The sequence below is a fragment of the Homo sapiens genome, chromosome 18, assembly GCF_000001405.40.
Source record: "Homo sapiens chromosome 18, GRCh38.p14 Primary Assembly".
NCBI lineage: Eukaryota > Metazoa > Chordata > Mammalia > Primates > Hominidae > Homo > Homo sapiens.
The window spans coordinates 3,715,941-3,729,822 of record NC_000018.10 but is presented as its reverse complement, the minus strand read 5'-3'; the positions used below and the strand labels follow the sequence as shown (position 1 = coordinate 3,729,822).

At 40.6% G+C, this 13,882-nt stretch overlaps 1 protein-coding gene across 36 annotated transcripts in view; it reads left to right on the top strand.

Moving 5' to 3' along the window:
* The window catches only part of DLGAP1 (DLG associated protein 1), a 959,276-nt gene that overhangs the window by 725,485 nt on the left and 219,909 nt on the right, over positions 1-13,882 (top strand). For 35 of the 36 annotated variants that reach the window (NM_001398527.1, NM_001398526.1, NM_004746.4 and 32 more), the window contains one exon: positions 448-688. In NM_001398527.1, the coding sequence (NP_001385456.1) occupies positions 448-688 (241 nt within the window). Of the gene's footprint in view, positions 1-447; positions 689-7,253; positions 8,066-13,882 lie in introns of those variants that run through there. The other variant, XM_047437935.1, reaches the window with a different exon arrangement.

Here is a 13,882-nt window from a genome sequence, read left to right as displayed (position 1 = left end):
GTAAAATTCTTCTCCAAGTTTGCCTTTATAAATAAGAATGTCATGCGTTGGAATAAGCCCCACATTTCCTTGCGTTCTACAAACGGTGCCCTTTTTTCTTTAAAATGTAATCACGGCTGGTGGTGGTAGCTCATGCCTGTAATCCCAGCACTTTGGGAGGCCCAGGCGGGTGGATCACTTGAGGTCAGGAGTTCGAGACCAGCCTGGCCAACACGGTGAAACCCTGTCTCTACTAAAAATACAAGAAAAAAAAAGTAATCTATTGTTTGGAATTATAAGCGGATGCCATTCAATTATAGCCTGTAACAGAAAGGAAATAAAATGCATTTGAGCTTAATCTAACCAGACGCTGCTTTTTCTTCTGGGGATTGAAGTTCGCAGATGCTTGGAGAGGTTGATCCTCCACCAGGTGGAGGCGAGTGTCACAACGCCTGTGTCTGCCCGCAGGTGAGCGAGATGGAAGTGAACGGGCAGTTCGAGTCCGTGTGCGAGTCCGTGTTCAGCGAGCTGGAGTCGCAGGCCGTGGAAGCGCTGGACCTGCCCATGCCCGGCTGCTTCCGCATGCGGAGCCACAGCTATGTGCGGGCCATTGAGAAAGGCTGCTCCCAGGACGACGAGTGCGTGTCCCTGAGGTCGTCCTCGCCGCCGCGCACCACCACCACCGTTAGGACCATCCAGAGCAGCACGGGTGAGTGCGCGGGCCCTCAGCCAGCCTGGCCCCTGTGCTGGCTATGGCACGACTGTCCCCAAAGACTGTGCCCTTGCTGTCAACACACATAGTTGCCAGGAACAAGATACCACCCATGTCCTACAAACCAAAGGTTTTCCTTCCCTATCTGCCTCTATCCCCGCCTCTGGCCACTCTCCCACACCTCTTTCCCATCTCTATCTCTGGCATCCACAGGGGAAACTGCAACAACGGCACCATGAGGGAGGGACAGCACAGCCCAGAGGGGAGGGACTTCCAAGATCCCCACACAGGTCCTAGGAGCCGATCCCCGCCAGCTCCTACTCCCAATAATTAGGCTCGGCCTTTTAGGGCTGTGACCCTAAATGACCAGACACCCTGCTTATGACCCATCACAGAATTGAAATGACTGTTTTATTCCAAGATAGCCACAAAGTGACTATCCCAAAAGACCTGAAATATCACTGTGAGAAAATAAGAAGAAACGGATGACCCAGTAATATTGGTCGCACATTTTATGAGTTTTATTTTAACAGAAAGCAGATTTATTTCACTATTTTAAAACTTCGATCTATCCTGTATAAATAGCACCTCCTTTTCCCACTAAACTGTATTTAAGTGTGTGTGTGGTTAAACTGTATTTTTGTCAGTAGATTTTAGGCACGGAGACACAGAAAAGCTTAACGAGTTTCTGTGACACTGGAACCTGCATAATAATATAGCCGTGGGCTATATATGACAATGTGTGCATATGAAACATATATATACCGTGGGCTATATATGACAATGCGTGCATATGAAACATGTATATATATATATATATATATATATATAACATTTGCGTTCCAAAAAGAAAATCCCACTGTCTAACTAGGCTTAACTTTATGATTGAACTCAGCATAACTTCAATATAGAGTATTCTACAAGAAGATCATCAAACTTAGAGTCAAGATAAATAATGATGAATAAATTGGAAAGAAAAGCCTGTGTCAGAATATTGTATCACTCCATTTTAGTGCTAGGTGCATCAAATGTCAGTAATTATCATTCAGTCTAGAACTTCCGCAGGCTTAAGAGTTTAAAGGTCCTCAAATCCAAGTTAAAATCCTTCTAACTAGATATATGGAATTGAGGTGATAATTTTATTTAAAATAAATATATGGGTTAAACAAGAGGAGTTCATTCTTGACCACCGCAGACTGAAATCTCAGTGTTAGGAGAAGAGATGCTTCCAGACCTTGCGTTGGCCAAGCAGCTCAGCAGGGAGCCCAGCAGCTCAGACCCTGGCTGGCTACCTCCAGACCAGAGATGGTAGATGTCCGTATATTCTTGCTCACTAGGAAATTCTCCAAGAACAACCACAGGTTAATAAATTAAATGAGAGTTATTTATGAAGAGAAAAATATATATATTTTTGAAAAATCAACCATGAGCATGTTTGTATGTGTTTGCATTCATGCAGTAAGTGTGATTTGGAAGGTCTGCCCTGTCCCTGTAGCTTATCACTATGTCTTTTGGTGTGTCCCATTTTCACCACCCCCACCCAACACACAACCCGTTCCCAGTGTCTGGTCCATTCTTCTGTATGATGAACTCATTGCCTGCCAGCTGAAATCGCTCCTTAAATATGTAAAATGCAGATCCTGGCCCAGAAGTCACAAGGGGTGCTCTCAGGAGAACAGTCGGGAAGGAAAGGGCTGGTGGCTCACTCCTTCCGCCTCAGGAAACGGTGTTGCAGATAAAGTAGCAAGAGACTTGGAATGGTTTTTCTCTTCTCACCTGTCAGATTTGCGTGTTTTTGTCATTTTACTTACACTTCCTGCATCAGCGCCTGTCCCATGCTCTTCACTCCAAACACACATGGGGTCTGCCCTCCTAAGACACTTCTCAGATACTCTGGAGGCTCCCAGAGCTCAAGCAATAGAGTTGCCAAATAAAATCCAGGTCGTCCAGTTAAATTTCAATTTCAGGTAAAGAGTGAATAATTCTGCTGGATAGGTATATCCCAAATATTGCATGAGAAACACTTATACTACAGAACTATTTGTCATGTTTGTAGTATTTTTCTAAAATCCAACAAGCCTATCAGGGCAGGAGATGAATGAGCCCTGGGAGGGTGTCTCATGTTGTTCCATTTTTAATCTAAGTTGAATCTAAAGGGCTTTAACCAGAAATGCTATGTGGGAAAACACCCAAAACGGGGAGAAGGGAATCAACCTGCACAGAGGGGATCGCATTTGCTCCTTCTTGGACTCTATGAATCTTATCCTAAGTACGAGCCACCTCCACCTTCAACTCTCTTGGGGAAGGCTCCAGGCTTGGCTGCCCCTGCAAGGATTTAAGGGCAGAAAGGTGTGACTTGCCCCTGGGGTTGGTGATGCATAAAATGCCAAGTGTTTGCACAGGGCAGCTGTACTTCACCCAGAATCATTAAACCAAACATAATGTATCATCTTTACAGGTGTGGAAAAATAAACAGTTTAAGTACTAAACCATTATAGTAGATTCTAACTAAGTAAGCACATAGGATATTTTTCCAATATTACCTTTCACAGTTTCTCTGTGACATGGATTTGTTCTTTAAAAATTCTTTATTTTATGATATGATAAGGGTCTATGCCCTTCATTCTGCCCCTCCTACTACTCCTGTGTGCTATTTATCTCTCTCTCTCTCTCTCTCACACACACACCCCACACACGCATTTCCTTCTCTTTTTCTCACATGATCTCAATACTGTCATATTCATTTTCTTCCTGTAGTTTCCTTTTTACATTGAATCAAGTATAATTTCCTGTAGAAAAATGCAGAAAATTGATTTTCTTACAGGACCTAATAATTTTTGAAAGAATACACTCATCTATGAAAATTGAGAAATGACTTTGCTCTAATTTTATTGATTTCCCCACATGCACGGGTCAGATGCACATCTCGGTTTAGTAGGACTTGATGTAGATTTGTCCTTTTCTCTCTTCCTTTGCTCATTATTTTCAGATACTCACAACAGATGTTGTTTTTCCTAAACTTACCCTTTGTCCTAAAAAAATTCCTCATTTTGTCAACTGCACTTATTAGGTAGAACTTCTCTCCACAGCAATCCACATTCTAAATCTTTGACATTCGGGTCAGCCCATTTTAATTGCTCACATTTTCAGCAAAATATGCTATTAAATCTTTCTCTTCCAGCCTTGTTCTTTATTCGTATTCATAAAATGAAATCACAGACAAGAGTCTGATGCCACAAGAGAGAATTATGAAGATGGGCTCAGCTCTAGGTGGCTGCAGGGATCCTCTAGGTATTAGTAGGTGAGCAAGGATGAATGGAGATACCTCAGCAAATCAGGAAAAATTAAGGATGAAGTTACGGAACTTAAAGTTATGCTTCCTTGGGCTTATTGACTTCTTGGCTTGTCTAACTATGGTAGAATCTTAGGTTCTTTCAGCCTGTAATCTACTTCAAGCACCCAGATTTCTCTCCATCCAATAGACTCAACAAGTTTTCATATAAACCACAGTGCCTGGGACTATTAGATTAATATTAGAGGAGGAAATATTAGAGCAGTTAATATTACAGTAGGAATATCAGGGTAGGAAAGTAGAATGCAAACATGATTCAGTTAATATCATGACTGAAAAAACAAGAACCCTTGCCTCAATCATCTAAAATATTTCAGGTAACAGTAGAACTTGATGCTGGAAATACACCCAGACCTCCACTTCAGAGGATTGGATTAAACCTGCCTCTGAAGGAATATACCAATGCAATTCTATGTGTTTAAGGGGAAGTTTTTGTTTTACTTCCTGTGCTGAATATTTCCTAGGACCTATCAAAAGGCATTATCACATTGTAGCTAGGCAGACTTGTATCTGGTGATACCAATAGTCTAAATAGGCAGAAACATTGTCTAATAATCATATGTGGTGATCTAATTATTGTCTAATAATCACACATCCGGCCAAATACAGGCACACACTCGTAAATGTACAGAAAAAACTTCAAAAAGGACACAAAGTAAATCATTTGCAGTGGTTTCCCAGAAAGTAGTAGGTGGGGAGAGGCAGATGGTAAAGAGATAGGGAGGTATTAAAAATAAGTATTTAAGACTTTTTGTGATTTTAATGCCAAATATAACATTTGAATAGAAATAATGCTCCTTGACAGAAGTAGGCAAGCTATCATGATATATATTCTCTGGTGGGTTTTTCTGTTTGGTTGGGTTTTTTTTTTTTTTGAGACAGAGTTTCCCTGTGTCACCTAGGCTGGAGTGCAGTGGTATGATTATAACTTACTGCAGCCTCCAGCTCCTGGACTGCGATCCTCCACCTCAGCCTCCTGAACTCAGGTAGCTGGGAATACAGGTGCACATCACCACGCCTGGCTAATTTTTTTTTCATTTTTTGAGATGGGATCTTGCTCTGTCACCCAGGCTGGAGTGCAATGGTGCAATCATGGCTCACTGCAACCTCCGCCTCAAGTGATCCTCCCACCTCAGCCTCCTGAGTAGCTGGGATTACAGGCACATGCCACCACACCCGGATAATTTTTTGTATTTTTGGTAGAGATGGGGTTTCACCATGTTGGCCAGGCTGGTCTCAAACTCCTGGGCTCCAGTGATCCACCCGCCTTGGCCTCCCAAAGTTCTGAGATTACAGGCATGAGCCACCACACCCAACAGATTCTCTGGTCTTTTAAGAAAATTCTTCACTTTGAAATTCCAAAGAAGCTTTGTGTAGCAATAATACAAGTTTTATAAAGAGTAAATAGGTTCATTTGCCACACTGTTACTCTTAAAGTTTGGCCTGTGTGCTATATTTTGCTCTGTTGCCCAGGCTGCAGTGCAGTGGTGTGATTATGGCTCACTGCAGCCTTAACCTCCCAGACCCAAGTGATCCTCTCACCTCAACCTCTAGAGTAGCTGGGACCACAGGCACATGCCACTGTGCCCGGCTAATTTTTAAAAAACAATTTGTAGAGGTAGAGACGAAGACTTGCTATGTTGCTCAGGCTGGTCTCAAACTCCAGAGTTCAAGTGATCCTCCCACCTCAACATCCCAAAGTGCTAGGATTACAGGTGTGAGCCACTATGCCCCACCAATACTCTAATTCTCTTATTAGAGGAATTTATTAAACAATGATGGAGTTGAACTGTTCTCCTCTCCTTCACATAGTTCAGGAAGGGGAGTAAGAACCTAGGGTACAGTGTCCCCCATGGGAAAGCAGTGCTTACCCTCTTGGATGTAGCTTGGGACCACAGTAACAGAAGTATTTACAGTTTGATTTTTGTAACAGGAGAAATCATATTTTCCTCTAAGTTGAGACACATTCTTCCATCTTCCTACCTTACACCCTCCCCCATTCCTGGCAGCTCTGAAACACTTGCTCAAGCCTTGCTTAATATAGCAAAAGCAGCTAATCTGTTGATCATCTGAGGTCAGAACTAACATTCAGAAAGTTCTCCTAAGGGTTTGGGTCTTCATTCCAAGTCAGTCATCCTACCCAGGAGACCACACCTCACCCACCTTCATGCACTCCACACTCCAATCCCACACACCTTGCTCCCCACTCCCCCCCCACACAAACCCTAAACCCTAAGCAGAATGACATTAAGATAATAATTTGTAATTGCAATACACACAGCAGGCATTCAAAAATGGAAGAAGAAAGGAAAAGCTGCAGAAAAATCTTTAAGTACTCCACAAACTGCACAAGCCACAGACGATTGAATAATCAAGCTGACTTTCCTAGGGAAAATAGCATTGCTATTAAAACAAGCTGAGTCATCAAATATTAGCAGTTATAAACAAACTTCTACATCATCCAGTCTAGTGGTCTGCAAACATACCCTATGGACCAAGTCCAACCTGCTGCCTGTTTTTGTAAATTAACTGTCATCAGGCATAACTCACACCCATTTGTTTACCTGCTATCTGTAAACAGAAGTTTCAGCGAATAGTTCCCTCTTTTAAAAGCAGAGTTGAATAGTTCCTGCAGAGTAGTCTCTGCAGGAATGTTTTGGCCCACAAAGCCAAATACATTTATGATGTGGCCCTTTACAGAGAAAGTCTGCTGCACCTATCTAATTCATCAAACCCATTCAAAGGTAAGGAAACTAAGGCCCAAAGTGGTGAACCTCCAACAGGAGGCAAAGTCAGAATAAGAAGCTCAGGTCTCTCAGTAAACAGCCCTTTGTTCCTTCGGTGCCCGGCTCTACAAATTATTTATTGCTTGAGTATGAAGTTAATCTGAACTTCAGTTTCTTCATGTATAAAATGAGATTACAATGCTGATCCTCTTCCCAGCATTAATGACCATTTTTGGAGAATTCTTAGAGTTCGGGGAAAGCTCAGTTCTTTCTGCCAAGCACCAAGTTAATTAATAGATCCTTGTTATAAAGCAGGGAGGCAAAGGTTCAGAAGTCAAAGGGACAGATATCAATCAGAAGCTTTCTGAACAAAGCACCTTTCTTTTCTATTCAAGATAAAATCAAATAATAAATATTCAGATATTGCCTGGACTGGTTCCTTGTCCCTCTGCTAATGAGTTTTCCTTCTTTGAATCTCTCCAAGTGGAACTGGAGACATCGCGTACTTCCACCCTTGCAGGCTCAGACGAAAGAAAAAAGAGCAAGATTTATGACACAACCTACTCCTTTTGTGAGGCAACTTATCCTTGTCTGCTGTTACATTGAAGGAAACTGACAGTGATGATTTGCAGGAGACTTTTGGTTATAACTTCTCCTTTCTTCTGTGGGGCACTCGAGGTAGGATTCCTCTATAATATTAGGAAGTCATAAAAATGCAAAAGTCCTATCAGGCACAGAGCAAGATTTAAAATCTGAAGAATACCATGTGCTTCCATCTCCTGCAGTTGTTTTGAAGTACATAAATCACCTCTTGGGAACGGAGTGCCAACCTTGAGGGGCTATGCCTCACAGACAGCCAACAAGCAAGTCCACCTTTGCCCACATTCGGGGTTATTGCATGGCAAACAGTGAAGGGGCTTCCAGGGTTTTCTGGCACACTGGCCTTAAAGGCTGTTGTAAGGTTCACATGAGATCATTCACAAGGAAGCATTATGCAAATTACAAATTAGAATGCCCTACTTTGGCTTTGATTTTAAATCTCTCAATGTGGCTTAGTTTAATAATAATGATAATAGCTAACCTTTAAGCACTTATTATTTGACAAGCATACAAACAGCTGCATACATTGTCTAATGTAACCGTAATGAATACTCTATGACTTGCACATGATATTATCATTTAAATCAAACAGAGAAAAAAAAATGTAAGACTTAGAGAGGTTACACAACTTGACCAGGCCACACAGCTAGTAAGTGAAATTCTCTCTGTAATCACCAATAAATGCCTTGGAAACTATGGTATAATCTGAAATAATTTAATACAAATCCATTTATAGAATAAAAGGCCTAGGAGCTTTTTTCTTTCATTCTTTCCTCTCGCAAATATGCATTTAGCTTCCTGCCATATTTGAAATCTGTATTTTCTATATCAGTTTCTAAAAAATTCTCTTTTTTAAAGAAACATTTGTTCACATATTATTGACATGGCCTCTCATGTTGGTTTGTCTGTGAAATATCTGTTTAAAGAAAAAGATGAAAAAAACTAGACTGAAATTAAATTTTTTTAAAAGCCTATGAAAAGAAAATACTCTCTGGGTTTAAAATTTCCTGTTACACTTAGTCGTTTTCACATTATGCGGATTTGGAAGATCAAATATCCAATCCCCTGATCTAGTCATGGTGTTGTCAGACAGCACTAAATGGAGAAAATAATTTTTGCCAACTCATGCGTAAATTAAGCAGGTGGCAAATTCTGTTTTGAGGCTGATGAAGTGGTCAGATGTCTGTGCCCTTGGGTTAAGTAAAAAAATACTAAACTAATGTAATTCTGATCTGACTGGTCTCTTGCTTGAACTGTAGAGCAAAGATGTGAACAATAGCAACTCAGTTACAAAGGTCAATCAGAAAACACAAACTAGAAAAACAGGCTCTCTCAATGTGAATCTTTATCATTCACTTTTGTCTTTATGATACCTCCACAGACACCTTTTTTTTTCTGGAGGCAGAGTCTCACTCTGCCACTCAGGCTAGAGTACAGTGGTGCAATCCCAGCTCACTGCAGCCTCAACATCCTGTGCTCGAGCAATCCAGTAATCCTCTCAACTCAGCCCCCAGTATAGCTGAGATTATACCAGGCCCAGCTAATTTTTTTTTTTTTTTTTTTTTGTAGAGACAAGGTCTTAGTATGTTGCCCAGGCTGATCTCAAACTCCTGGGCTAAACCAGTCCTCCTGCCTCAGCCTCCCAAAGTGCTAGGATTATAGGTATAAGCCACTGTGCCTGGCCCATAAGCACTTTTATGATGGAAGAAACTGCCATTTAAAAAAGCCTTCATAATCCAGAGTTGTCTGATCCAGTTCATATTAAATGTTAACAAATATAGCAAACTAATAGCGGTTGGAAATTGTCCATGTAATTAACACTGGCAGTTGGACAATGCTGCAAAGCCACTTTAAGAGCAACATTATTCAGCTCCAGGTGGTAAATCCAAGACCTGAAGTTTTGCATTTCTGTCTACACCTACTGCCACTGACTTTCTGTCAAGTTTTCAGGGCAAAACTTTCCTGCTGCCAAGTGTCCTTGATTAAAAATAGAGAAGACCAAAATGAATAGTACCATGATTTTACTATAACGGCATTTGAAACAGTCTCACATTTATTTTAATGACAAATCAATGATCATGTAACTATCAACATTTTGAAAGCTTTCTTTGCCATCTGCTGGTGTCCTACTGACATGCAATTTCCACCAACATACAAGAGAATTTTTATTTTGTTTTACCTTTTTCTTCCAATTATCAATATTACTGAGAATACTAATTCTAATTCTATAACTTCTAATTAAACTTATGGAAGAAGATAACTAGTCTAAGTTATCTCTAATATATGACAAACTGTCAAAGTTTAATTAGCTTTTATCCCTAGAATATTCTGTGGTTTCAAAAGGGTACATAATATTATTACACTTGACATTGGTTAACCAGTTTCATGCTGTAGAGATGTATGTCTGACAAGAAGTATCAGATCTAATCAAGACGGAAGTTCATCCTGAATTTCTGGATAAGACTGCCATCCTGTCTCTCTTCAAATCCAACCTTAAATGTCTTTTTCACCTAACTTTCTTATTCCATTACATATTTGTCCCATAATGAAATTTTAAAATTTATGAAAATTGGTGAGTCCATCTCATCCACTATGTTGCTTTTGAAAACCTTTCTCTTTTCTAAAATGTTGATTATGGCCAGAGAATCACAATGATACTTTGATGTTTGCTTTTATCATTTTCAAGAAACTTCTTTCAATTGTCTTTTATTTTTATCTTGTTAATTAGAAACAATTATAGATTTATAGGAAATTACAAAGATAGTACATAGAGGTCCCTGTACCCCTCACACAGTTTCCCCAACAGTTACATCTCAACAATATCAAAACCAAGACATTGACATTGTTACAATGTGCATGAATAGTTCTTTCTTTCTTTTTTTTTTTTTTTTTTTTTTGAGACAGAGTCTTGCTCTGTCGCCCAGGCTGGAGTGCAGTGGCGCGCTCTCAGCTCACTGCAAGCTCTGCCTCCCAGGTTCATGCCATTCTCCTGCCTCAGCCTCCTAGTAGCTGGGATTACAGGTGCCCGCCACCACACCCGGCTAATTTTTTGTATTTTTAGTAGAGACAGGGTTTTGCTGTATCAGGTCTTGATCTCCTGACCTCGTGATCCGCCCACCCCGGCCTCCCAAAGTGCTGGGATTACAGGTGCGAGCCACCGCACCTGGCCAAATAGTCCATAATTTTATCACGTGTAGATTTCTGTATCCACCACTATAATCAAGATGTAGAACCATTCCATCACCACAAAGATCTCCTAGTATCCACATTTTGCCAGTTGGATGAAGTATAGAAACCTTACCTCCCTTCAAGTCTCTTTGCCCTCTCCAACTTAAAATTATCTTAAATATTTCCTACACATACATGAAGAGTTACATCACACAATGTTATACTTTCTGCTTCAAATGTCAAATATAATTTAGAAACTTTTAGAGAAGGAAAGTCTATTGGATTTGCTTGTATTTTTTTCCCAAATTGCCAAATTTGAGAAATTTTCAGCCATTATTTCTTTTTTTTTTTTTTTTTTTCAGACAAAGTCTCACTCTCGTCCCCCAGGCTGGAGTGCAGTGGCGCAATCTCGGCTCACTGCAACCTCCACCTCCCGGGTTCAAGAGATTCTCCTGCCTCAGCCTCCTGAGTAGCTGGGATTACAGGCACCTGCCACCACACCCAGCTAATTTTTGTATTTTTACTAGAGACAGGGTTTCACCATGTTGGCCAGGCTGGTCTCGAACTCCTGACCTCAGGCGATCCACCCGCCTCGACCCCCCAAAGTGCTGGGATTACAGGCGTGAGCCACCGTGCCTGGCCATTTTCAGTCATTATTTCTGTGGCTACTTTTTCATCCTCCTCCTTCTGAGATTCCAGTGACACAAATGGCCACAATTCTGTCAGTGGGGGTTTTGGGCAAGGCGGTTTCCTTAGAGGTGGATAGTTGGGCAGGCACTGTTTCATCTCCATCATATAACATCATCTGCTTGTTGAATACAAAAAATATTTCTTCCACGCATCCTAGAAATGCCCCCATCAAACATGACCCAACTTTCACATGGACAGTCACAAAGGGGAGGCCAGTCAAAGTTACACTGAGCCACTGTACCCAGCACACAGTGCCTCTTATTGATATAAGACCACTCCTGGCTAATTTTTGTATTTTTAATAGAGACGGGGTTTCACCATCTTGGCCAGGCTGGTCTCGAGCTCCTGACCTCGTGATCCGCCCACCTCAGCCTCCCAAAGTGCTGGGATTATAGGCATGAGCCGCTGCACCGGGCCTTTTCTGGTTTTATTAATGGTGCATTTGCTATATCCCTTTAAATAAAAAGAATGTTGACATAAATCCAGGTTAAACTGACACAAATTAAAGCAACTTTCTTTTTATTTAAAAATTGGTAACCTGAAACATGAAGAGCTGTTCTCGTTCTCAGAAAAAGAGAACGAGAAACTCACAATCCAAAAGCCCATAACACTTTCTAAATTAGTTAAATAAATAGGATGCAAGCACTTGACTTTGGCACGTAGCAGTCTTGAAGTTCCTACTTCCTACCACTCTAATATAAGATCTCAGCTACTACCTTGTGACCCTACAAGGAGTTAAAGACTTTAAATACCAGTCACTTTGTAGCTTTGCAGTGGTTCAGCAATTAGCCATCTAAACACAAAATCTATAGTTCTTGTACATAGAATTTGCCCCATGAATATCTGTTAATTGAGAGGTGAGAACATAAGATTTCCTCTGGAAATTTGCTGCTCCAGTGAACGCTGTAGCTTTCTGGGATGACTCTGATGTCTCCACAGAAGCATAAAATTCTTTACTGTTTTTTCAGTCACCTGAAAATAAACCACTTCATTTCAGAGACAGTGGGGTGGTCACATGTCACCCCAAACCACTTTGAGGAACAAAGTTTCAATAACTTCTTACTTGGAAAAAAAAGAACCTCTAGAAATGGGTGATAGCAAGAATCCAAGAGACTGGTAAGTGCTAACTTCTGCAGAGAAAGCCTTCCTTTTCTTTCTCAGGCTGTTCATCCACTTCGTGTTCTTTCTCTGCACTTTCTTGTCCAAAGCCCCGTGGAGGTGAAATTCCTACCCACCCTTCTTTCCTGTTCCCTCTCTTACCTGTGATAACTAAGTGGGGCTAATACAACCTTGGTACTAACCTGGTCTCAAATCTCTGTCTATAAACATCTAACTAAAGAGATTTCATGGACTGCTGATCACATTTCTAGAGTGAATATAAAACTATGAGAAAATCTATAGAGGATTTGCATCAACATATATTCTTTCTATTTTTTTCTAGTTTTCTTTTGAAATGCAGCATATTCCAAAAGGCTTACAAGATAGTATAAAGCTGCTGGGATGGAGGTCTCTTCCTTGTTTTGAATTTCCACTAAAAAAAAAAAAAAAAAAAAAAAGGCAAACTCACCCTCTTTGCACCGCTCCAAGCCATAAGAAACAACCCACTCTCTAAAAAAATTTTTAAATTTTTATAGAGACGGCACCTCTCTATGTTGCCCAGGCTGGTCTTGAACTCCTGGCCTCAAGCAATCCGCCCACCTCCGCCTCCCAAAGTGCTGGGATTAAAGGCACGAGCTACTGCACCCAGCCACAAATGTTTTAAAAAAGTTTATAATAATATGGGAAAGGAGAGGACTTTGGTATTATATTAAACTAGAAATCCACAGGACATGGGAACAGTATCCAAAATAGTGTGTTTTTGTACATACACACATAACTCAGAATGTGTCAAGAATTTTTGCTCAGGAAAAAAAAAATACTAGAAGGAAATGCACTAGAATGTTAAAGTGATTATCTTTGATATTGGAACCAAAATGGTTTTGTTTTTCTCCTTATACTTTAGTTTTCAAATGTTCTGAGGTGTGCATGTTTCGCTTTTATAATAAAAGAAAAAAAAATTTGAGACAGGGTCTCACTGTGTCACCCAGGCTGGAGTGCAGTGATGCAATCACAGCTCACTGCAGCATCAGCCTCCTGGGCTCAGGCAATCCTCCCACTTCAGCCCCCTGAGTAGCTAGGACCACAGGCACAAGCCACCATGCCCAGATAATTTTAAAAATTTTTTCTAGAGACAAGGTCTCACTATATTGCCCAGGCTGGTCTCAAGCAGTCCTCCCACCTTAGCCTCCCAAAATGCTGGGATTACAGGAATGAGCCACCATATCCAGCCAAGAAACTATTTTTAATAAAGAAATAGCTAGTGTTTCATTGGTTTGGTCCTACTGGAAGCAATAGTACATCTCATGTCAGCATATCCTTCAGGTTTCACCTTTTTTATATTAGTTTTCTTGACTAAATGAAATCTTTTGGATTCAGTGATTGGGCAGGATCATTGGAGATGATCTCCAGAAAGGTGCTGCTATGCTATTGTTATTTATCTAAGTATATAACATCTTCTAGTAAAGAATTCTTTTTAAAAATCAATACTAAATTTTTAAAAAATATTCTTTCCCTTGCTTTCCTTTACCCTCATACTGGTAGCAAGTGAGGTTTTGT